Here is a 26,702-nt window from a genome sequence, read left to right on the forward strand (position 1 = left end):
TACGTCAATACGATTGAGTCATTGTGAAAGTTGTAGACCAAGATTGGTAATTATTTTTATGCCTTGCCATAATTTTTAAATCTGGTGGTAATAAAGTCTAAATGAATCTGTGTCCCAGGCTTAAACTGCTTCCAAAGGATGTGTCCCCTGATAGAGTAGGTTCCCGCATTTTTCCATTAGTGGATATAGTGGTTGACATCCTTGTATGTGGTGCACTGTCATGGTAAACCCAGGCCCATAACTGTAAACACCCCCTTTTATCTACTATGAATGCAAATTGTTAGAGTGGTAACCCTAACTCTGGACCTCCAGTAGCCAGTGATTCTTTGCACTGTAACTGAGAAAAGGTTTTTCCTTTCACCACAGTGCTGTACCAATTTGTACAGCATGCTGTACCCAATGTACACATTATACACAATGCTGTACCAATGCTGTATCAATTTGTTGTAACAGATCTGAAATTGCACAGTGATTGCAACTTCCATAAAAACAGAAGTTGTTGATTACAGGAAGAATAATTTTAAATACACCAAAAGCTCTTACTAGTATTCAAAAGAAGACCTGCAAGTAAAATGATCAAACACTGTATTTAAATATTTAGGTAAAATCTTACATTTTCATATGTCATGTGTCACCAGATTCCCAAAAGTCAGGATGTGTTTAAATCAAACATTAGGGTGGAGAGCAAGGAAGTGGAGTGAAGGAGAAAGTTTTCTGGCCAACACTGTAGAAAACACACTGTTATATCTTTGAAACTCTTTTTAAACCTGTGATCCTTTACGTTCTCTCTCTTTCATTCCTCCACCATGGCACCACCTTTACAGGTTGCCACAGTTTTGATGATCATCTCTCTCCCAACCAAGATGGTGGAAAAAGCAAAAACGTGGTGAATCTTGGAGCAATCCGACAAGGCATGAAACGCTTCCAATTTCTGTTAAACTGCTGTGAGCCAGGGACAATTCCTGATGCCTCCATCCTAGCAGCTGCCTTGGATCTAGTAAGTTGGTGAAAGAATTTTCCCACCCTGCCCCCCATCCCAAGTAGCACTATTAACAGAGGTAAGCATGATTCCCCAATTGTAATCCTCCTGTGTTTGTTTGTTTGCTTTTTCAGAATTAGTGATAAAAGGGGGAAGAAAGATGGTGAAAAAGGGAGAAAAATCTTAATTAATATGCCCTGGGAAATAGACTGTCTAAATATGTGAAGGCTCTGGAATCAGACTGACTGAGTTAAAATCACTCTGACATTTACCACCTGAACCTCTGTAAAATGAGTGTAAGAGCAATAACAATACTATAGCTTCCTCCTCGGGCTAGTGCGAAAACTAAATGAGATATTAGATATAAAGCCCTCATCACAGTGCCTGAAATACAGGAACTACACAATAAAGTGGGCCATTATTATTATATTATTGGTCTTATGTCTGCCATGTATTAGTCCTTTAAGCTCACCAAGCCTTGATTTCATTATCCATCAATTGGAGGAAAAATATGAAGCAAGATCAATTGAAATGAATTGCACAAACACTTTGAACATTGTGTGCTATTATACACGTGTAAAGGATTAAAGAGTATGAAGTGGATCTTGGTTAGAAAGTGTTTTTATCAGGTAAATTAGGCCCACATGTGAGTTTTGAACTCAGCCTCTCAATTTATTTATCTTTATTTATAAAGTCTTCATATGATGCATAAACACTGGGTACAAAATACCAAGTAAACATCAGGAAAAAAAGTATTTTATTTTAACTTTTAAAGAAGACAAACTGAAATAGATTTTTATTAGAACAAAAAACTTTAAGCCTGCCAATAAATGATCCTTTTTTCGGGTTTTATGACACATGAATAAGTGACCAGTGGTCACTCATATTTTACCTTGGAAAATAATCCAAGCCTTATAATGTAATTCATGAAATTTCTCTGTGACATTTGCAGCTTTTGCTCTAAGGATATTTAGTGACCAGCAAGGTATGTGGCTTCACTTAAGGCTGAAATATTAATACCACTTATAATCACCCAAAATGATTGCTTTCCGTTATATAAGATTTTTTTCAGTCAGTTTCTCATTATTGGGTAGTGACCTTTGAGAATTTTTTAAAAATTGCATCATGTTCAATGTGTGTTGATATGTGCCATGGTGACTGTAAAATGTAGAAAATCACAGGTCTCCAGGAGAGCTGGGGTTTGTGGCAATTAAACAATCAAAGTACAGTGAGATGTCTGTCTAAAGCAGGAGAGCTTGACAAGGCAAGGAGCCAATCCCCTGTTTTCTAGGTGGGATAGTGGAAACTTAGCTGTCACTCTTTTGAGTCCTGCATGGTTTGTCTTAATCACATCTTGCTCTGTTCCCAAAGGAGCAGATTAAAATAAATAAATGCAACAAATTCATTAGAAAAGAACAAACAAACACTTAAACAATGGAAAAGTATATGAACAGCCAGTCACCAAAAATACTAATAGTCAGTAAACTACACTTCATCTTACTTGAACTTAAGAAATGCTCTGTTAATTTACAAGTTAAAAAAAAGGAAAAAGAAATACCTATTAAAATAGCCACAGATTCCTACTTTATAGCTCTCAGGTTGGCAATGATTTGAAAGTGCTGATATGAGTGGAAGATATCAGACACCACGTGCAGTGTCACTACTGGTGTAAGCAGCAGGATTTGATTAGGGGACAGAAGGAATTCTTGGACTAACTGGTTAATAATGAGAGCAGTGATGGTGAGTGGAGCACTCCTCAGCTCCTCCCTGAGTAGTAAGTAATTTTGGACTGTATATAATCGGGGAGGGAGAGTAGCAGTTCTTTACATATCAAATACATCAAATGGAAAGGGTGGTGGTATTTAGAAGCCCAGAGTCAATGTGAGTTATAAGATACTCACCATATAATAATTAATTAACTCAGCAAATGTCTTTTGAGGGATTCCTATGTGACAGGCATGGTTCTCTTAGTGATAACACAACAAAACTCAACTGGAGGGCTGCACCTATTTTTCCCTTTTTCCAATGAAGATTGTGTTTGTATAGTGATTTTTTTTCCGGATGTCTTAGTGTACAGCATTCTAAGGTTGATTGATGAATGATTAGTATTTATTGTATGCCCACCGTGTTGCCAAAGGAAAACACTGAAGCTCAGAAAGACCGATTAATAGGCAGGACTACAAAGTCAGCAAAGGATGGAGCCAGACTGGAACCCGGGTCTATCTTCCAAGCCCTTCAGTTTTGTATTCTACCATACTGACTCTCTTATTAAAATATTATGTGAGACCATTTACTTTAAAGCATGCAATAATAATAAATTCCATATTTTATACCCAATAGCTTAAACGTGGTTAGGAAAGTGAAGGTGACAGAGGCTGGTTGATCTCATAAGTCTCATGGTAAGAAAGAAAATGAAGGAGCGCTGGAGCTTATAAGCAGTGTCTTTTGAGCCATCAAGTAAAGAGGCATTTTCTCATTAGCATATGTGTCCACTGACTGAGTAGCCTGCATCTGGAAGTAATGAGGTCTTTGCCACTAGACTGGATCCAGTAGGGGTGAATGTACAGGAGGATCAAGCAGTGTGTGGGTAGTAGGAGTTCCTTTCATACCTGACAGTCTTTGATTCAAGGTCAAGGTCAAGCTGTGTGTAGTGTTCAGAGGTCCAAATTCCAGAGGTCAGAATCAATCAAGGGTTAAAGGAGCTCAGTAGTTCCCATTATGAGGCAAAAAGAGAGAGAATCTGGGTAGACATGATTGGTTGGATAAAAGGCATAGGTGATGATGGTGGTGGTGGTGGTTGGCAGAGGTGTTGGTAGAGAATAATACTCATAACATTTTCATTATGCTTGATGGTTTATAAAGCACCTTCACATTCATTGTCTTATTTGTTGGTATGAGAGCAAAAGAATTAAGCCAAGAGATGAACCCCAAATAAGGACACACTTACAATCAGTTTCTCAGCTATGGAAAGTGAAGGAACTAAAGGGGCTGGTGAATTCTGACAGACTGAGAGGAAGGTAATGCAGCTATATGTCGTACGTGCTTGAATCAAAGCAGCATTTGGTGTTTACTGTCATTTGTACAGATGTGATAACTGCAATTGTTCATACCTATTGATCTGGGTTAGGGGTTCCTCAGGGTTATGCTAACTTTCACTGATGTTTTCTGCTAAAGGTATTTTTAGCTTTTGTTTCCTTTGTATTTGGTTTCATCCAATATGTGATTCACCAACTTCCAATCTTTCAAGAATGCCTCAGTTTTTAAGTATGTTTTACGTGTTTTTCAATGCATTGTGGTTTTATTTAGATATATGTATATAATATAAATAGATGTAAATATAGAAATAAACATAGATGTAGATATGTTAGGTAGATATGCAAATGAGGTACACATGTGGATCTAGATATAGGCACAGATACAGATATAGATATAGATAGATATACATATACAGAGATAGATATACATATACACAGATAGATAGAGACATAGTTATAGATTCCGCCATTTCATCAAATAGAATTTGGAGGAGGAGGGGAAAAATGAATGTGCTCAATTCATCATCATATTTCAATCTTGCATTTTCTCCCACCTCTCTTTTATTGTTTTGCTTTGTTACATTTATTTTTTAAGTGCAGCTTAAATACAATTTTTGCATTTTGACATAATTTTATATTAGAATAGTTTCATTGTTTTATGTCCTTAAAAATAGAATTTAAATGTGATTTTTTTAAGATTGTAATTTTCTTCAGAATTAAAAAGAATTGTTAGATGAAAGAAATACTAGAAATGTCAGTGTTCAAAGTTTTGCTGACCTGTTTTTTTTGTTGGTTCTAAACAATGCTACTTTTATTATTGCTATGACCACTAAATGTAGGGATAATTGATTCAATTTTAAGTCCAGTACAGCTTTTCCTCACAATCTTTCTCTTTAGGGTTAATTTAGCAGATGCAACTGTAAGGCATTTTTTAAAAGACATATTTTAGAAAGGATTGATTTCATCTCTAGATTTATATAATCTGCAAGTACAAAACTAAAAAGAAAATAAAAAGAAAAATTAAACAGTTCAAGCAAAAGGTATGTCTACTTCCTATATTTTTCAAGTGAAATAGTCTTTTCTTATTTATCCAGTTGAATTTGTAACATGCACAAGCAGTGATTTCTAATTTTTTGGTAATTTATTAGCATGAATAACACTAATACCAATGCCAGTTTGCTTTAGGAACAATTCCATAAGTATAAGACCATCCATAGGATCATAGAATTCTCCCTAGTCTGTGAGTGGAGGAAATCTAATGTTAAATTATTGAGCCTCATAAGTAGACAGTTTTAGAAGGAGTGCATATATAATTCTTTTTCAAAATAGGACACTTTCAAGAGTGAAAGAGTTATCAATAATTATGTGAGGAAAAGAGACATAAACCAGGACTCTCCCAGGAAAAGACCTTCAGTTACCATAGGTCTAATTCACACTTACTTCCAGGCTTATTGCATCAAATATAATTCATATTGGGGCTTAACATCACAAGATATTTAATGATCAATGCAAATTAGGTCCTTTCAAGGAGATAGGAATGCATGAAAGAGGAAATATCTTATGATTCTCGTTTGAATCATAAGAAAATTAGAAATAATTTAGTAATAACAAAACTAAACTATCAAATTGTCCTCTTAATCTAGTGGTAATGAATTTTTTAAAAAGAGTCTAACTATGAAATGTAGCATAAAAAAATGCTTGAATAGTATTTCATTGTTTTGTATATGCCACATTTTCTTTATTCATTCACCTATTGATGGATACTTGGGTTGAATCTATGTCTTGGCTATTATGAATGGTGCTGCAATGGACATGAGAGTGCAGATTTTAAAAATGAATATACAGCAAAAGAAACTATCATCAGAATGAACAGACAACCTACTGAATGGGAGAAAATTTTTGCAATCTATCCATATGACAAAAGTCTAATATCCAGAATCTACAAGGAACTTAAACAAATTTACAAGAAAAAAAACATTAAAAAGTGGGCAAAGGATATGAATGAACCCTTCTCAAAAGAAAACATTTATGTGGCCAATAAACAAATGAAAAAAAAGCTCAACATCATTGATCATCAGAGAAATACAAATCAAAACTACAATGAGATACCATCTCACACCAGTCGGAATGGTGATTATTAAAAACTCAAGAAACAACAGATGCTGGTGAGGCTGTGGAGAAACAGGAATGCTTTTACGTTGTTGGTGGGAATGCAAATTAGTTCAACTACTGTGGAAGACAGTGTGGTGATTCCTTAAAGACCTGGAACCAGAAATACCATTTGACCCAGCAATCCCATTACTGGGTATATACCCAAAGGACTATAAGTCATTCTACTGTAAAAACACATGCACACGTATGTTTATTGCAGCACTATTTACAATAGCAAAGACATGAATCAACCCAAATGCCCATCAATAATAGACCGGATAAAGAAAATGTGGTACACATACAACATAGAATACTATGCAGCCATAAAAAGGAATGAGATCATGTCTTTTGCAGGGACTTGAATAGGGCTGGAAGCCATTATCCTCAGCAAACTAATGCAGGAACAGAAAACCAAACACCACATGTTCTCACTTATAAGTGGGAGCTGAACAATGAGAACACATGGACACATGGACACAGGGGAACAACACACACTGGGGCCTGTCAGCAGGGTTAGGGGGGCAGGGGAAGGGAGAGCATCAGGACAAATAGCTAATGCATGCTGGACTTAATACCTAGATGATGAGTTGATAGGTACAGCAAACCACCATGGCACAAGTTTACCTATGTAACAAACCTGCACATCCTGGGCATGTACCCAAGAACTTATAAAATAAAATAAAATAAAATGAAACAAAATGAATATATATCATAAGTACATAGAATTTAAAGAAAAAAATCTAAAAATCACATATCCATGACACAAAACATTTCCAGTTTCTGTGTTCCCTTACCTAATCACACACCTTTACCTCTGAGAAGATACTGCTCTTCTGAACTTTATTTTAATATCTTTCTTGTGCTTTATTTTACCACATTGGTATGTGTCTTTAGAGAATATATTATTTTATTTTGTTTTCATTTGTTTTGTCTGGTTTTGAAATTAACTTATAGGAAGTCATGCTATCCTCTTTCTTATTTGTTTAACATTATGTTTGAGTTCCTCCTTGTTGATGCATTTAGTGTTAATATGTTAATGTTTACTCATGAATGGTATTCATTTGTTTGAACATACCACAATTTATATGTCCACTCTATGTTAGGTGAACATTTTAATTTTTTTCAAAATTCTGGCTAATTTTAGCAATGCCCTTATTAATATTTTTCTGTATGGGTCTCTATTCATATATAGTTTCCTAAATAAACCTATGAGTAAAATTATTGAGTTACAATTTTACTATATGATACCAAATTGTATTTCAAAGTAGTTTCAAAAATTCCAAATAAGTGCCAACGATATAATGAAAACTCCTGTTTCTCTATGTTCTTGCCAACACTGTATTGTCCAATATTTTTATTTTTAACAATGTGGTGCTTTAAAGTAATAACCTTTAATCTATATTTTAACCTAAAGCTTAAGAAGTCTTGTCATCAGTTTATTTACTATTTCTGTTTCTGCTTTGGTAAAATATTTCATTTGTGTCTTTTGTTCATTCTCTTATTGGAAGATTATCTTTTATTGCTGATATTTAAAAGATTATAGGTGATGTCAATATTAATCTTTTTTCTGTTCATTACATTGCATCATCTCCCAGTGTTCAGCTTGTTTTCTTCTTCAATTTTTTCATACATTTTAATGAAGAGATTTTAATTTAATATAATTCATAAAAATTATCCTTCATGGCTAGCACTTCTGTCTTGAAATTCCAAGGTAGCAAAGACATTCTTATATTTTTCTCTAAAAGTATTAAAGATTAACTTTCACAATTAAGTCTTTATGTTTTATGTGAATAGTATAGGATAGGAATTCATTTTCTTTATTTTCTTTCATTCTCGTGGAAAAATAATTATCCTAGCACAATATATTGACTAGTTAATGCATTCTTCTCAGATGTGCATTTCCATCTTAATCAAATGTCAGGTGTCCTTATAAGCATGATGTAATTCTGGGTTTTGGTTTTTTTGTTTACTTATTTATTTATTTATTTATTTATTTATTTATTTTTTCGTTTTTGAGATGGAGGCTTGCTCTGTTGCCCAGGCTGGAGTGCAGTGGCATGATCTCAGCTCACTGCAACCTCCACCTCCCAGGTTCGAGTAATTCTTCTGTCTCTCAGCCTCCCAAGTAGCTGGGACTACAGGCACCCGCCACCATGCCTGGCTAAGTTTTGTATTTTTAGTAGAGAAGGGGTTTCACCATATTGGTCAGGCTGATCTAGAACTCCTGACCTTAGGTAATCCACCCACCTTGCCTTCCCAAAGTGCTGGGATTACAGGTGTAAGCCACCACGCCTGGCCTGGGTTTTGTTTTATTCCATTTTCCATGTATCCTGAGTCAACCTACTCTGTATTAATAGTTAGAACTTAAACATCACTTAGGCTAGTCGAGGCTCTTCGTTCTTCCACATGAAATTTTATAGTTAGCTTATCAGAGTCCATGAAAAATCATTTGATTTATACTTGGAATTGCATTGAGTCCACGGATATATTTAGAGATGATCGAAATTGAAATCTGAATTGATTATTGAAAAGTTCTATTTCTTCCTGAGACAGTTTAAGTAATTTTAATTTTTTCAGTAGTTTATCAATGTAATCTATATTTTAAGGTTTGTTGGCATAAAATTGCTGAGAATACATTCTTATTAGTTCTAATCTTTGCAGTATCTGTAGTTACCTATTTCTATTTCTAAAATTGTTTCCAGTTTTTTAACTAGATGTACCAGTCATTTGTCTATTTCATTTTTTTAATCTTTCTATTGTATGTTCTCTAATTTATTAATGCTTGCTCTTATTTTTATTATTTTCTCTCATGCTTTGGGCTAATTGCATTATTCTTTAGTTAAGTTGATTACTTAGTTCATTGATATTCTTTTCTCTATTGTAAACTAAGAACTTAGCTATTAATTTTCCTCTAAGTACTACTTTAACTGCATACCATAAATTTTGATAAGCAGTATTTTTGTTTTAATTTACTTTTAAGTACTTTCTAATTTCTTTAACTATTTCCTTTTTGACTCATAGGTATCTATATATGTGTGTGTTTTAATTTATAAAATCCAGGGTTTTGTTAGAAATCAATTTGTGTTGTTAATTTCTAAGTTACTGATTCTTCAGAATTAATTTAGACTTCCTTTATGACCTAAAATATTATCAGTTTTTATAAATGTTCCATGTGTTGTCAAAAAGAATTTGTATTCGCCACTTGTAGAACACAGTGATTGATATACGTACGATCAAACTCATTAATTGGGTTATTTGAATCTACTTTCTGATTGTTTTCTCACTGTTTGATCTATCAATTACTGTTAGTTGTGTTGAAATCCCTCACAATGATGACAAATACGTTCATTTGTATTTACAGTGATGACATTTTTTGTTTTATTTATTTGGAAGCAAACAGGTTTAGAAATATTACGATTTCTAATGATTTGAACCATTTATTACTATCAAGTGGCACGCTGATTTTTAGTAATACTTTCTACCTTAAGATATGTTTTTCTACAAGGCTAATAGATAGCTACAACAATTTCATTAGGTTAGTATTGGCTGGGCATGTCTTTTTGCCAATCCTTTACTTTCAACTTTTCTATCTGTTTGTTACTTAGGTGTATGTCTTATTAAAAGCATGTATTTGGGCCGAGCATGGTGGCTCACACCTGTAATCACAGCACTTTGGGAGGCCAAGGTGGGCGGATCACTTGAGGTCAGGAGTTCAAGACCAGCCTGGCCAACATAGCGAAACCCTGTCTCTACTAAAAATACAAAAATTAGCCATGCCTGTAATCCCAGCTTCTTGGGAGGCAGAGGCACAAGAATAGCTTGAACCCAGGAAACAGAGGTCGCAGTGAGCCCAGATCACACAACCGCACCCTGGTCTCGGCCACAGAATGAAACCCTGTTTCCAAAAAAAAAAAAAGAAAGAAAAAAAGAAAAAAGGTTTATATTTAATTTTTTTCATCATTTAAACAATTTTTTTCTAGAAAATTTAGTCTATTTGTGCAGATTGTGATTACTGACATATTTAGATTCACTTCTGTCATTTTTGCTTATTTATTACACTTTTTATTTTTTCATTGTGTGTGCATGTGTGTGTTTGTTTCAATTTCATGCCTCCTTTTAGATTGTGTTAGGGTTTATTTCTCTTGCTTTGGTATAGTTTCACATTTTAAAAGTTATTTTCCTTTACTGGTTTGTAGATTATTATATTCCCTTTATGTTTATAGAAATCACATACATATTTAACTAAAAGTCTAAAATCAATGAATTTCTTTTTTTTAAATTTTTTTCTAAAAAAGAAGGATACATGTGCAGAATGTACAGATGTGTTACATAGGTATATGTGTGCCATGGTGGTTTGCTGCACCTATTGACTCATCCTCTAAGTTTCCTCTCCTCACTCTCCATCCCCCAACAGGCCCTGGTGTGTGCTGCTTACCTCTCTGTGCCCATGTGTCCTCATTGTTCAACTCCCACTTATGAGTGAGAACATGCAGTGTTTGATTATCTGTTCCTGTGTTAGTTTGCTGAGGATGATGGCTGCCAGCTTCATCCATATCCCTGCAAAGGACGTTATCTCATTTTTTATGGCTACATACTATTCCATGGTGTATATGTACCACCTTTTCTTTATCAAGTCTATCAGTGGTGGGCATTTGGGTTGGTTCCATGTCTTTGCTATTGTAAATAGTGCTGCAATAAATATACGTGTGCATGTGTCTTTATAGTAGAATGATTTATATTCCTTTGGGTATACCCAGTAATGTAAATCCTGGGTCAAATGATATTTCTGGTTCTAGATCCTTGAGGAATCACCATACTGTCTTCCACAATGGTTGAACTAATTTACATTCCCATTGACAGTGTCAAAGTGTTCCTATTTCTCCACAGCCTCACCAGCATCTATTGTTTCCTGACTTTTTAATAATCTCCACTCTGACCAGCATGAGATGGTATCTGATTGTGTTTCCGATTTGCATTTCTCTGATGATCAGTGATGTTGAGCTTTTTTTCATGTTTGTTGGCTGCATAATGTCTCCTTTTGAAAAGTGTCTGTTCATATCCTTTTCTCACTTTTTGATAGGGTTGTTTTTTCCTGTAAATTTGTTTAAGTTCCTTGTAAATTCTGGAAATTAGACCTTTGTCAAATGGGTAGATTGCAAAAATTTTCTCCCATTCTGTAGGTGGCTTGTTCACTCTGATGATAGTTTCTTTTGCTGTGCAGAAGCTCTTTAGTTTAATTATATCCCATTTGTCGATTTTTGCTTTTGTTGCAATTGCTTTTGGCATTTTTGTCATGAAGTATTTTTTGTCATGAAGCCTGTGTCCTGAATGGTATTGCCTAGGTTTTCTTCTAGGATTTTTATGGTTTGGGGTTTTACATTTAAGTCTTTAATCCATCTCGAGTTAATTTTTATATAAGGTGTAAGGAAGGCGTCCAGTTTCAGTTCTCTGCATATGGCTAGCCAGTATTCCCAGCACCATTTACCGAATAGGAAATCCTTTCCCCATCGCTTGTTTTTGGCAGGTTTGTTGAAGATTATATGGTTGTAGATGTGTGGTGTTATTTCCGAGGTCTCTGTTCTGCTCCATTGGTCTATAAGTCTGTTTTAGTACCAGTACCATGCTGTTTTGGTTATTGTAGCCTTGTAGTTTGAAGTCAGTCAGCATTGTAGTTTGAAGTCAGGTAGCATGATGCCTCCAGCTTTGTTCTTTTTGCTTAGGATTGTCTTGGCTATATGGGGTCTCCTTTGATTCCACATAAAATTTAGAATAGTTTTTTCTAATTCTGTGAAGAATGTCAATGGTTATTTGATGGGAATAGCATTGAATCTATAAATTACTTTGGGCAGTATGGCCATTTTCATGATATTGATTCTTCTTATCCATGAGGATAGAATGTTTTTCCATTTGTTTGTGTCCTCTCTTATTTCCTTGAGCAGTGGTTTGTAGTTCTCCTTGAAGAGGTTCTTCACATCCCTTGTTAGCTGCATTCCTATGAATTTTATTCTCTTTGTAGCGATTGTGAATTGGAGTTCATTCATGATTTGGCTCTCTGCTTGTCTATCGCTGCTGTAAAGGAATGTTTGTGATTTTTGCACATTGATTTTCTATCCTGAGACTTGGCTGAAATAACTTATCAGTTTAAGGAGTTTTGGTGCTGAGTTGATGGTGTTTTCTACGTATAAAATCATGTCGTCTGCAAACAATGACAAGCTGACTTCCTCTCTTCCTATTTTAATACCCCTTATTTCTTTATTTGCCTGATGGCCCTGGCCAGAACTTCCAATACTATGTTGACTAGGAGTGGTGAGAGAGGGCATCCCTGTCTTGTACTGGTTTTCAAAGGGAATGCTTCCAGCTTTTGCCCATTCAGTATGATATTGGCTGTGGGTTTGTCATCGATAGCTCTTATTATTTTGAGATATGTTCCATCAATACCTAGTTTATTGAGAGTTTTTAACATAAAGGGATGATGAATTTTATCAAAGGCCTTTCTGCACCTATTGAGATAATCATGTGGTTTTGGTCTTTGGTTCTGTTTATGTGATGGATTACATTTATTGATTTGCATATGTTTAACCAGTCTTGCATCCCAGGGATGAAGCAGACTTGATCGTGATGGATAAGTTTTTTGATGTGCTGCTGGATTTGGTTTGCCAGTATTTTATTGAGGATTTTCACACAGATGTTCATCAGGCTCATTCTTTTTATATTGTGTCTCTTCCAGGTTTTGGTATCAGGATGATGCTGGCTTTATAAAATGAGTTAGGGAGAAGTCCCTCCTTCTCAATTGTTTGGAATAGTTTCAGAAGAAATGGTACCAGCTCCTCTTTATATTTCTGGTAGAATTCAGCTGTGAATCCAACTGGTCCTGGGCTTTTTTTGGTTGGTAGGCTATTAATAGTGCTGCAATTTCAGAACTTGTTATCGTTCTATACAGGGATTCAACTTCTTAGTGGTTTAGTCTTGGGAGGGCATATGCGTCCAGGAATGTATCTGTTTCTTCTAGATTTTCTAGTTTATTTGCATAGAGGGGTTTATAGTATTCTCTGATGGTAGTTTGTATTTCCGTGGGGTCAGTGGAGATATCCCCTTTATCATTTTTTATTGTGTCTATTTGATTCTTCTCTCTCTTCTTCTTTATTAATCTAGCTAGTGGTCTATCTATTTTGCTTATTTTTTCAAAACACCAGCTCCTGGATTCATTGATTCTTTTGGAGCATTTTTCATGTCTTTATCTCCTTCAATTCTTCTCTGATCTTACTTATTGCTTGTCTTCTGCTAGCTTTTGGATTAGTTTATTCTTGCCTCTCTAGCTCTTTTAATTGTGATGTTAGGGTGTCGATTTGAGATCTTCCTAGCTTTCTGATGTGGGCATTTAGTGCTATAAATTTCCCTGTTAACACTGCTTTAGCTCTGTCCCAGATATTCTGGTACATTGTCTCTTTGTTCTCATTGGCTTCAAATAACTTCTTGCTATGTGGTGCGGAGAAGAATGTATGTTCTGTTGATTTGGGATGGAGAGTTCTGTAGATATCTATTAGGTCTGCTTGGTCCAGAGCTGAGTTCAAGTCCTGAATATTCTCGTTAATTTTCTGTCTCATTGATCTGTCTAATATTGACAGTGGGGTGTTAAAGTCTCCCACTATTATTGTTTGAGAGTTTAGTCTCTTTGTAGATCTCTAAGAACTTGCTTTATGAATCTGAGTGCTCCTGTATTGGGGGCATATATATTTAGGATAGTTAGCTCTTCTTGTTGAATTGTTCTGTTTACCATTATGTAATGCCCTTCTTTGTCTTTTTTGATCTTTGTTGGTTTAAAGTCTGTTTTGTCAGAGACTAGGATTGCAACCTCTGCTTTTTTTTTTTTTTTTTTTGCTTTCCATTTGCTTGGTAAATTTTCTACCATCTCTTTATTTTGAGCCTATGTGTGTCTTTGCAAGTGAGATGGGTCTCCTGAATACAGGACACTGATGGGTTTTGACTTTTTATTCAATTTGCCAGTCTGTGTTTTTTAATTGGGACCTTTAGCCCATTTACCTTTAAGGTTAGTTATTGTTATTTGTGAATTTGATCCTCTCATCATGAGGTTATTTGGTTTATTTGGACACTAGTTGATGCAGTTTCTTCATAGTGTCATTGGTCTTTATATTTTAGTGTGTTTTTGCAGTGGCTGGTACCAGCTTTTCCTTTCCATATTTAGTGCTTCTTTCAGGAGCTCTTGCAGGGCAGGCCCGGTGGTAATGAAATTCCTCAGCATTTGCTTGTTTGGAAAGGATTTTATTTCTCCTTTGCTTATAAAGCTTCATTTGGCTGGATATGAAATTCTGGGTTGAAAATTCTTTTTCTTAAGAATGTTGAATATGGCCCCCAATCTCTTCCGGCTTGTAGAGTTTCTGCTGAGAGGCCTGCTGTTAGTCTGATGGGCTTCCCTTTGTAGGTGACCTGGCCTTTCACTCTGGCTGCCCTTGACAGTTCTTCCTTCATTTCCACCTTGGAGAATCTGATGATTATGTGTCTTGAGGTTGATCTTCTCATGGAATATCTTAATGGTGTTCTCTGTATTTCCTGAATTTGCATGTTGGCCTGTCTTGCTAGGTTGGGGAGGTTCTCCCGCATAATATCCGGAAGTGTGTTTTCCAGCTTGTTTCCATTCTTCTCATCTCCTTCTGGTACTCCAGTCAATCGTAGGTTCAGTCTTTTTATGAAGTCCCATATTTCTTGGAGGCTTTGTTCATTCCTTTTCATTCTTTTTTTCTGTAGTCTTGTCTGCATTCCTTATTTCAGCAAGGTGGTCTTCAAACTTTGATATCCTTTCTTCTGCTTGGTCGATTCAGCTATTGATACTTGTGTGTGCTTCACGAAGTTCTCATACTGTGTTTTTCAGCTCCATCAAGTCATTTATGTTCCTCTCTAAACTGGTTATTCTAGTTAGCAATTCCTCTAACCTTTTATCAAGGTTCTTAGCTTCTTTTCATTCCATTATAACATGCTCCTTTAGCTCAGTGTGGTTTTCTATTACCCATCTTCTGAAGCCTACTTCTGTCAATTTGTCCATGTGATCTCGGTCCAGTTCTGTGCCCTTGATGGAGAGACGCTGCGATCATTTGGAGAAGAGGCACCCTGACATTTCGGGTCTTCAGCATTTTTTCGTTGATTCTTTCTCATCTTCGTGAGTTTGTCTAGTTTCAGTCTTTGAGGCTGCTGACCCTTGGATGGGGTTTTTGTGGGGGCTTTTGTGTTGTTGTTGATGATGATGCTGTTGTTGTTGCCTTCTGCTTGTTTATTTTTATTTCAATGGTCAGGTTCCTCCTCTGTAGAGCTGCTGCAGTTTGCTGGGGCTTCATTTCAGGCCCTATTCATCTGATTCACTCCTGTGCCTGGAGATGTCACTCAAGGAGGCTGGAGAGCAGCAAAGATGGGTGTCTGCTCCTTCTGGGACCTCTGACCTCGAGGGGCACCAACCTGAATGCCAGTAGGATCACCCCTTTATAGGGTGTCTGACAACCCCTGTTGGAGGGTTTCACCTAGTTGGGTGGCACGAGGAACAGGACCCATTTAATGAAGCACTTTGTCCTTTGGTGGAGGGGGTGTGCCTTGCTGTGGGGAAACCCACCCGTCTGGGCTGCCCGGATTCCTCAGAGCTATCTCAGGGATTCCTCAGAGGAAAGGCTAAGTCTGCTGGCCCGAAGAAGAGACTGAGGCCACCCCTTCCCCAGGGTCTCAGGCCCAGGGGGATCCAGATTCTGTTCCTGAGCCTCTGGCTGGAGTTATTGGAGTTCCTGCAGGGAAACCCCACCCCATTAGAAAAGAGGGGTCAGGGTCAGTCCTGAAGAGGCACTCTGGCCGCAGACTGCCACAGCTGGTGTGTTGGGCTGTGGGGGACTTGTCTTGGGACCAAGCTGTGCAGCTTCCCTGGCACCAACAGGGGAAAAGCACAGCCTTGGGCTATAGAGATGGGTGCCACCCTTCCCCTGCCCAGGGAGCTTAGCATGTTAGGTCATTGCGAGTCCCACTGCTGGCTGCTGCCCCTCCCACAAGGAGTTCAAATGGCTTAAACAGCAGGCAGCCAGTGCTGGTCGCTTCTCCCACCGGGAGTTCAGTAGGCTTAAGCAGATTCCAGCTGAGAGGCTGTTAAGAGTCTGCGCATTCTGGGGTTGCGATGCTAGGCTCTGGTGGCGTGAGTTCGTGAGGGGCATCTTCGGATCTGTGGGTTGCACAATTCCATGTTAAAAGCACGGCTTCTCTGCCTTTGTAGCATGCTCACTCACTGCCTCCCTTGGCTTGGGGGAGGACACTCCCTGGCCCTTTGTGGCTCCCAGGTGCGCTGCCGCACCACACTGCTTTTCTTTCTCTCCACGGGTCACGGCAGCCTCTTAGTTCTGACGAGAGAACCTGGATACCTTGGTTGCCGGTGAAGGATTCACACGTTTATTATGTTTTTTTTTTCAATGGGAGCCTCCGAACGCTGCTGTTTCTAGTCCATCAATGAATTCCTTTACTCTTCCCTCAAAAAATAAGAGGGTTTCGGCCGGTCGCGATGGCTCATGCCTGTAATCCCAGCACTTTGGGAGGCCAAGGCAGGCGGATCGCGAGGTCAGGAGATCGAGACCATCCTGGCTAACACGGTGAAACCCCATCTCTACTAAAAATACAAAAAATTAGCCAGGCGTTGTGGCGGACGCCTGTAGTCCCAGCTCCTCGGGAGGCTGAGGCAGGAGAATGGCGTGAACCCGGGAGGCGGAGCTTGCAGTGAGCCGAGATCCCGCCACTGCACTCCAGCTCCGTCTCAGAAAAAAAAAAAAAAAGAGGGCTTCAACCCCAATTGTTGTTCCTGTTGTTCAAGATTTAGTTCTATCTTGCTTTTGCATTAATATTCACAAATTAGACATTATTTGTATTGATTTTTAGGTAAATGAGTTTTAAATTTACTCCCCAAATTTAACATATTCTTTGTTCACCATTTTCCTTGCATCTTAGATATTCCTCCTAAGATTATTTCAGAAGTGTCTTTAGTGACAATCAATTGGCAGTAGATCTCTCAATTACAATTTAATTGAAAATCTCTTTATTTTGATCTCAACTTGAAGATACTTTTGCTAGAATTGTATTTATAGGCTGACATTTTCTTTCTACACTTCAAAGATATTATCTCATTCCTTTCTGGCTTAATTGACAATCCTTTATAGGTAATCTGCCCTCCTCCCACTGTAGTCACTTTGAATATCTTCTCTTTATTGTTTATATTTTGCAGTTTTACTAAAACGTTCTTAGCATTTTTCTTATTTGAGGTTCATTAGGTACTTGAATTATGTAATTGAAATACGATATTTATTCTAAAAATTCTCAACTTATCTTTTCAATATTGTGTCGTTCACATTTTCTTTAATCTTTCCTTCTGTAAATTGAAAATATATAAGATAGATCTTTTCATTTTATTTTCTGTTTTTGATAACCTCTCTTTCATATTTTTCATCTCTTTGTCTCTATGCTAAACTCTGGATAATTTTATCAGATATATTTTCCACTTCACCTTTTCTCTTTTCAACTGTGTCTGATCCCTTGGTTCTCAACAAGGGGCAGTTTTGCCCATCAGGGAACATTTGACAATGTCTGGAGGAATTTTCAGTTGTCACAACTTGGGGATTGGGTAAATACCAAAGATGCTGATAAACATTCCATAATACAAAATGCACCCCCACACACACACACACACACACACACACACACACACACACACACAGAGAGAGAGAGAGAGAGAGAGAGAGAGAGAGAATCATCTGACCCAAATAGTCAATAGTATTGCAGTTGGAAAAACCTGATATAACCTGTGTTTTAGTCTATCCATTGAGTTTTAACTGTGTTTTAGTCTATCCATTGAGTTTTAAGTTTCAAGTACTACATTTTTATTTGTAAAAATTCTATTTAAATTTTGTTTTAAAATTTCCTAATCAACTTTCATCATCTAATTCCTTCATCATACTTTCGATACTCACATTTATCTTTAAATGTGTTTGATACACTACGATTCCAATCGCTGTAGTCTTTGTGAACTTCATTCTGTACTTTATTTCTTCTGACTCTTGTTCACAGTGGATTATTTTATGTTGTACTTTTTATTGACACATAATAGTTGTGCACATTTATGGAATACTTGTGATATTTTGATATATGTATACAATGTGTAATGATTAAATCAGGATAACTGGAATATCCAACACCTCAAACATTTATCATTTATTTGTGTTGGGAATGTTCCAAATCTTCTCTTCTAGTTATTTTGAAATATAATGTAGCTCATTCCTTGGCACTTTATCTGTAGGAATTATTTAAGACCTGTGTTAGAAGTAGTGTTTTTCAGTGGACCAGCAACATCAGCATCACTTGTGAGCATGTGAGAAATGCAAATTTCCAGGCCCTACAATGGATCTACTGAATCAGAATATCTGGGGATGGAGCTAAGGAATTTATTTTATCCATCTTCCTAAGTGACGCCTAGGCTCAAATATGAAGGTTTGAGAAGTGCTGGTTTGAAGTATTTCTCCAGAGAGAATTTCCATTTATTTTGTCAGACACCTGGAAACATTATCAATCTAAGAACATTTTAAAAATTATTTTTGGGGGCTGGGGGGCATGGAATTAGCCCATTCTCGGTGCTCCAAACTTGTATGAGAATGTGGGATTTTGTTAAGCATTCTCGTAAAAGACTTTTTCCTTTTGTTTCTCCCCCTCTGTCCTACCCAGAGCCAAACCTTGTCAGGCAAACCAACTTCTTTGGGGCAGATTTTTTCTTATTCATCCACTGAGGGTGGCTCCTTCCTGAGATCCTGGCTTTATGTCAGAGGAGTACATGTCCTGACCACCGACCCACTTGTGCCAACTTTTAACTTGTGGCCCATTGGAAACCCATCCGGTCTCTCTATAGTCAGCAGAAACCTTCAGGACAAATATTTCTATCTAGTTTATCCCTACCCCCACCCTCAGAATTGCACTTTCTTGTAATTTCTACTCTCCAGTTGTCTTCGATCTCACTTTAGAAACAAAAGCAAAATAAAAATAGACATTTTTGGATATTTTACCCACCATTTCAGGTGTTCTAAATCAAATGAATTCTTCACTCTTACTTGATCATATTGTCAGAAACAGAAGTCCTCATTTGGTTTTTAAAATACCCAAAATATTAGCATGATCTGAGTAAGTGCTAAAATGACTAGCCTTCCAGACCATGTGCTAACCTGTAATGTTGGTCTTCAGCCTACCCACAGCTACTGTAGAAATAGGCAGGGATGGAGGCAGCCTGTTAGCTAGTGAGTCAGTTATTTATTGATCTCAGTCTGGCAGAGAATTCAATACAGCTAAGTAATAAATACTGACTCAGAAGTATATGCCCCCTAGCAAAGAACTTTGGAATGCCTACTAAGACCCCAAATAACTGCTTATTTCCATTGGTTGTAGATAAACAGGTATCCTGCACCAGCAACAGCTTTATATTTTATTTTGTAAGGCAATAAAAAATATGTAATTCCCTAGGGGCCCACATAAAATATTTAGTCTTTAAAAACAGTTAGTTTCTATCTAGTGTTATATGAGTTTTCAGGATCAGTCAAGATTTCTTCGCACATTGTAAGCTTAGATATAGTCCTCCAGGGAAAGGAAGGCATTGCAATTATAAGCTTCAATTAACCATCATATCTTGGCAACAATATTTTTTAGGTCCCCAGGCAAAATAAAGCACAGCTATCGAAATTAGTATCTCAATTCTCTGCCTCACTTTCATAAAGGAAGTATTCAATATACATAATGATCTTATAAAATTCAAGGAAAAAATGGCAAAGAAGTCAAGGAAAGTAGCCAGACTCCTGATGTTTTCTACCTGTAGACTGTAAGAGACTCCCATGCTGTGCAATGACATTCATTAGACTTTTTGTAGTTTCAACTGGACAACCCTGTAACCCATGCAGAGAACACCTCATACAAGATTGAACTATATGAAATTGCTGATACGACTATTTTTGACCTTCGAATTTAGAAATTTCATAGGTTCAATCTAATATTTTGCCTTCCCAGTTAAAATCGATTCTTGCTTGTCTGGAAACTACGAAGTTATAATATAATGGAATAGAAGCCTCTCTGTGACATTATGGAGCATAAAAAGGGATCTGGGCAGACATGTTAATAAGAAAGAAGAAATTTAAATATGCCTACTTTTCTTTTAGGACCACCAGCAAATTCTCTGTGGTATGCCAGTGGTGTCAAATTTTGTTTAGATGTTCACCTGTAACTGTGCCTCTGATACTCTGTGGTTCTTTTCAGCTATGCGGCATTCTTCTGATTCATTTTTCTCCATTTGTGCTGTTTTTCTCTGTGATGTGAATCCATCCCTATCCATTATGTCATGCCTCCATCTTTTGCTGCTTCTTCAGATTGCACTGAGCCATAAGAGGTAAGCTCCATCAAAAGAGGGAAAATTGACTTTCCTTTATGCTCAGGAAGAATCCTTTGTCCAAGGTATTCCATAACCCTGCCCCTGAAATCAATACTCTCTAAACTACCTTTTAAAAGGAACTGAATGAAAACAATTCCTCATAGCCACACTCACACCAGAATTCCTTGAATGCTGTTGCACACACATTGCAAACTCAGCAAACTTAATTAGCTGTTGCTTACTAATGATCTTGGACATTATTGCCCGTAGATTTGTACCTTAGCATCACCCTCAATTTTCAGTATAGTAATATATATACTAAAATACCCCAGAAATTGGTATTATTTACTGCCATCTTAAATATAGAATTTCTAAGCCTGCCATCATCCACCAGGCTAATAATGATTATAATAAAAAGGCAATATTTGAGTGACTCTATGTCATCATCCTTGATGGAAACAGTGACATTTCCAAACATGAATGGGTTTGGCTATTTACATGCATAAAATTCATCAGATAATTACCAACCTCCCCCTTATGTTTTACCATATAGTTAATGAGAATTATTTTCATATTGATCTCAATTGCATTTCCAAACTTGGATTAGAATTTCCCACAGCCTGTAACTGATAATATCTCAGTTTTATCCTGAGAAGTTTTTGAGCACAGGAGAATTGAAATTGGTTTTGATTCAAAAATGCCTTGGGCTTCTTAAGCAACTAAAGTAATTTTTCAGCAATATATTTTTAAGAATTCTTGTATCTAAAGAAGGCAAGCTAATCCATATAAGAAGCCTTACATATCACTATTTAGATTGTTCATTCATCTATTGTTAATCCTCTCAGTTGCCATCTAACACTTAGAGGCAATAAAATGATCCTCTACCCCATACATATGGTCCACGTTAAGTTTCAACCTTGTTAATCCTGAAGGAGCCAGGGTTCACAATATAATGCTATTTCAGCAGTGTTACCTATGTCTTTCTGTCATTAAGCTTTGAATCCACATTGCTTTATATTGGCAATGTGTCATATTGTGACAGGCTAAGAATAAATTTGCATCACTTGCCTGACCTCTAAACTGACATTCTGTTTTAGAGACAAACGTTCCAACCTTTACCAGACACAGATTTGCATATCTGAACTGTTTAGTGAAATGAATACTTAATACAAGAAAGAATGTAGATATTTAGTCTATATGGCATGGCACTGCAATACTGCTGGGTTTAATGCAGAAGATCATCTGACTCCTTGCAATCTCAAGTTTTTCTATCCCTGTGACCTGCTTCCTAGTCTTGACCCCATGCATTGATGAGATAGATTCTCATCATTAGTATCCACCTTTTGTTAAGGATAGATACTCACTATTAGTGTTCATCTTGCATTCTGTCTTTCACATAGGTTAATTTTTCATGTTGTGGTAATACATAATATTCTTTGTAAAATTAAGTACCTACATAAATATATTTTCATTGTAATTTTTGATGGCTGCATTTAAGACATATACAATGAAGAAAGGCTTAAGGAACTAACTTACTTGAATCATCCAGTGTGTTTGGGATACTTTGGTACCCAAAAATGTAAAGTAACCAGCTCTGCCTGTCCAGGGAAGGGATTTAAGAAGGGTTCTCAGAGGAGGTAACTAACTGAATCCTGAATCTTAAAAATGGGAATTTTCTGGATAGAAAAGGAGTTTCAAGGCTCTGCAAGCCGTGAGACAACATGTGGAATGGCAGAAGATGTCATATTTGGGAGATAGCAACTAAGTTGACATAATTGGACCATAAAGCACTTGAGATGGGCATAGAAAAGGAGATGACCCAAATCACAAAGCTTGGATATCTTTATTTGTTTTATGGTTGAGGTGGATGGAGGCTATAATAGATATCAAATGGGGAAATGATATGTTTATATATTTATGTTTTAGAAAACAATAGTACATGGGACTAATATCCCACTTTAAGTATTAATAGTTAATTTCTACTTGCACTCTACAAATTATCTTTTACTAAGATTTATGGGAGTATAAATTAAGACAATGTAAATGCCAAAGAGAAACTAGCATAGGACCAGCATCAATGAGACCTGGGTTGAATTTTATGTTCCTATATTCACCCCTTTCATGCTATATGATAGTGAAAAATTATACCTCATTTTAAAAAATCTTAAATGGGGGACATTATTTATAGATCACAGGGATGTTATATATTATAATTCTAAAAGTTAACTGACATGTAATTGACAGTCTATGTTAGCCTCTATTTTAACTTTATGGATTGATACATTGTTAAGAATACTACTGCTTACCATTATTAAAAATTATTTCAATTTGAAAATCTGTGGTTACTGAGTAACCTATGGTTATTAGTAACCCTAAAATGATAAATAATATTGTGATGTATTTTTTAAAAAACTGACACAAGTCAAAATACACATGAATAGTTGATATATATTTTCTTATGATCTATTGACCTTCTATGGAAAACTTCTCATTACTTCTTTCCTTAACTTTTTTTAAAAAATCTTTCAAAGATTTCAGTAGAGTATTTGATTCTTACCAGATTCTGGATATCAGCTAAAAGATGTTTCTTCTTTTTTCTTTTTTTTTTTTCAAGCACATTTTGACATGACAAGGTGGAGCCATGTCTTTCTGAAGAAATGCTCTATCATTTATCAATTAATCTCCTCTTTATCAAACATTTTCAATTAAAACCATGCCTATTTAAGTATAATCCAGTCAGTTATTTATGACAAAATAAAAAAAAAAAGACTAACTCAGCAAGATTGAGCTTCCTTTTCTTTTTTGAGGTGGAGTCTCACTCTGTCTCCCAGGCTGGAGTGCAGTGGCGCGATCTCAGCTAACTGCAACTTACACCTCCCAGGTTCAAGCCTCAGCCTCCTGAGTAGCTGGGACTACAAGCACGCTCCACCATGCCTGACTAATTTTTTGTATTTTTAGTGGAGATGAAGTTTCATCATGTTGGCCAGGCTGGTCTTGAACTTCTTTTTTTAATAGCCAAAATGTGCAGAACCAATTTTACCTCTTTGGAACATATGGATGGTTATAGACAAAAGACTATTGCTGGTACAAAATTACTTCTGACGCTCTTGGTTAAAATAAGACTGGTTCTAGAAATGGAATATTTGTTTGCTTCATGTAAAATTTAGGGTTCAAAAAAAGATTCATCTTTAAGACCTCACTAAAAGCTCTTTCACTCTACACTCAAATCGCTGTCACCCTTAAATATACAAAGTTGGAGACATGTAATTACTTGAGATTCTTGAGAAGAAGGAGAAAGCAACACAGAAACCTACCTAAAATGTCTAATCCTTCAAGATCCACATTTTTGGGGGGGATTTTGCTTTCCAGATTTCTCACTACTGTGTTGGCCATACTGACACCACCCTGGGAAATATGGCCAATATAAATCAAAACATGAAGAGGAAAATAAACTAAAAATACACAGTAATTCCCTTTAAGACCAATTTAAAGTTATTGTTCATTAATCCCACATTATTCTTTCCTAAACAACCCTACACAGGAAGCCCCTGTGGTGGCCAGAGCAGCCTTGTTCCTGGAATGTGCTCGTTTTGTTCACCGCTGCAACCGTGGCAACTGGCCAGAGTGGATGAAAGGGCACCACGTGAACATCACCAAGAAAGGACTTTCCCGGGGACGCTCTCCCATTGTGGGCAACAAGCGAAACCAGAAGCTGCAGTGGAATGCAGCCAAGCTCTTCTACCAATGGGGAGACGTGAGCTTTCGGTTTTCTTCTATAACAATTAGGTTGCTTAAGTGAAGTGGAGTCATTTTTTGATTGATTGTGTTTGTTTTGAAGACAATTTATTGAGTGTTTGTTATGTACCAGGTACTGAAGGAAACACTTTGGGAAAAAATAAGCAACTCATTTAATCGTCCCAATAAATCTATGAGGTTAGACATTACTATCTCTGTTTTACAGTTAAGAGAACTGAAGTTTATACAGGTCAAGCGACCTACCAAATTTTACATATCTATTAATAGTAAGTAGAGGAACCACTATTCCATCTCACAGATTAGATTTCAAAGCCTTGCTTCTAATTGCTATATTCATCAAGAATTATCTTTTTGAAAGTCATTGTTATAATTGTAAAATACACCCTTATTTCAGTTTCTATTCTAATTTATATTTTGTAAGGCATGATTTTTTCTAATTTCTTAGTGAAATTTTCTCTTTTGTTGATGTGCCTCCTTTAAGTTGCCTGAAAGCCTTTGGAAATTGCACTCACATAAACACATATTTATGTATGCATATGAGTAAGTGAATAAATTTAAAAGTGAATGAATGAAACTTCTTTAGGAATTCTAACAAAATGGACCCTTAAAATAACTACAACTTCTTTACCATAGAAGGAAAAAAGGTGAAGAATAAAAGGAAATTCAAGAGGACCAAGTTTCTGCTAATTTTAGACAGAGCTGAACATAAACACACATAAAGAGGTTCCATATATTCCTCTTTTCTTAAAGATTACTTGGAATAACTGTTACAATTTCCGTTAATAATTCAGCTGAATGTGTCTACCAATGTGCTTACCAACTAAGGTATTCTTCCTCCAGTTTTACCCATATCTTTTTTGCAAAGTGCCAAAGTTATTCAAAAGGCATGAATTGTATTTAGTATGTGTGCAGTCTTTCTGTATCAGTCTTTCCTTCTTTATTTGCTGTTCTTTGGATTTTCTTTCCTATATAAAAACATCCTGTTTAAAAAGATACACGTATGTATGTGTGTGTGTGTGTGTGTGTATGATATGTTGGAGTAGAACACTTTATTAATGCTAATGTCAATGATCAACACTTAGCACTGCCCTTTTCAGGCTTCGATTGCACATTATATATGAGAAGACACAGTTTCTCCTATGTAATATCTATTTTTGTAAATCGTTGAGATAAGTTATTATGTGATTCCATTGTACTTATCCTTCATTTAATTATATTCGGTTTTAACCTTATGAAGGTTTATACAAGTCAAGCAGTGTCAATGAAATGCATATCATGAGATACATAGAGGCACCAGTAATCTCTTTAATGTGGAGAGATGTTCCAACCCCCCATTTATTACCTGTCTCATTCAAGGAAGGTCTTATTGAGAGGCTTCTCTGAAACAACAGTCACAATTGATAATCCCATTGGCTTCCTACAGGAGAGGAAAACCATTAAGTGCTACACATTTGAGAGTTTCAGGTTTATAGGGAGATTGTCACCAAGAGATTTCACAAACAAGTGTTTTCAGGCCAAGAGTCTTCTGACTTTCTTGCAGCATTTGACACTGCCAACTGCACATACCTCTGTCTTTTGTCCTTTGTCTTTTTGAAACCATCATGCTTCAGAGTTTCCTTGCACCTCTGTGCCTAATTCTCTGTCTCCTTTCCTGGTCCTCTGTCTCCTCCCTCGTCATAAACAGATATTCTCCAGGATCTCTCTTAATTTCTTCCAATATAACTTACTTCAGGGTTACATTTATTCTTATATTTCCAACTGTAACCTGTAAGTACAGACTTCCCTAACCATAGCAGTTTTCAGATCCCAGACCTACATTGCCAGCTGCACTTTGGAAACATTCATTTAATATCCTAGAACTCAATCTTCCAAAATAAAACCCTTCTCCTCAAGTAAACACATTGCCACCTACAACCCTTCTGAGCTTTCTATTCTTATTGATACCACCGTCATCTGAGATGCCAACCTTTGAGCATATCCCAATCTCCTCCCCTATTGATCCCACCTCTTTCATGTCACTGAAGCCCCTTAGGCCAGATCCCCATGACTTCTCATCTCGATGATTAAACTTTTTTCCTATTTGGTCTTCTCCTCACAGTCTCCTCTCATTTAATGCATCCTACACACTGTCAGTGAAAAGATCTTCCTACAGCCCAGCCCACCCAAGATATGACATTCATCCTCATCTCCCAGCCTCCAGACTTGCACCCTCTAATTCATTCTCCAAACTGCTCTCAGAGTGATTAGGCTACAATGCAAATTAGAGTGTGTTTCTTATCCACTTAAAATGCTTTCAGTGGCCCTCCTTTTCCCTCAGGATAAAACCCAAACTGCTTAGCCTGCCATCACTGCCCTC

General features: G+C 36.7%; 1 protein-coding gene across 3 annotated transcripts in view, besides 3 other annotated features; it reads left to right on the forward strand.

Moving 5' to 3' along the window:
- Positions 1-26,702, forward strand: part of UNC80 (unc-80 subunit of NALCN channel complex) — a 227,465-nt gene that overhangs the window by 76,795 nt on the left and 123,968 nt on the right. For all 3 annotated transcript variants that reach the window (NM_032504.2, NM_001371986.1, NM_182587.4), the window contains exons 22-23: positions 825-997; positions 24,132-24,344. In NM_032504.2, the coding sequence (NP_115893.1) occupies positions 825-997; positions 24,132-24,344 (386 nt within the window). The remainder of the gene's footprint in view (positions 1-824; positions 998-24,131; positions 24,345-26,702) is intronic.
- Positions 15,875-16,412: an enhancer, noted in NCBI's record as "OCT4-NANOG-H3K4me1 hESC enhancer chr2:210729225-210729762 (GRCh37/hg19 assembly coordinates)". NCBI's record gives its function as "activates a minimal SCP1, AML or CMV promoter by ChIP-STARR-seq in naive and primed H9 embryonic stem cells {active_cell/tissue: H9 hESC(naive and primed)}" and the evidence as "EXISTENCE:reporter gene assay evidence [ECO:0000049][PMID:30033119]".
- Positions 16,413-16,950: an enhancer, noted in NCBI's record as "OCT4-NANOG-H3K4me1 hESC enhancer chr2:210729763-210730300 (GRCh37/hg19 assembly coordinates)". NCBI's record gives its function as "activates a minimal SCP1, AML or CMV promoter by ChIP-STARR-seq in primed H9 embryonic stem cells {active_cell/tissue: H9 hESC(primed)}" and the evidence as "EXISTENCE:reporter gene assay evidence [ECO:0000049][PMID:30033119]".
- Positions 24,059-24,353: an enhancer, noted in NCBI's record as "tiled region #8902; HepG2 Activating non-DNase unmatched - State 3:PromF". NCBI's record gives its function as "activates a minimal TATA promoter and a strong SV40 promoter by Sharpr-MPRA in HepG2 cells {active_cell/tissue: HepG2}" and the evidence as "EXISTENCE:reporter gene assay evidence [ECO:0000049][PMID:27701403]".

The sequence above is a fragment of the Homo sapiens genome, chromosome 2, assembly GCF_000001405.40.
Source record: "Homo sapiens chromosome 2, GRCh38.p14 Primary Assembly".
NCBI lineage: Eukaryota > Metazoa > Chordata > Mammalia > Primates > Hominidae > Homo > Homo sapiens.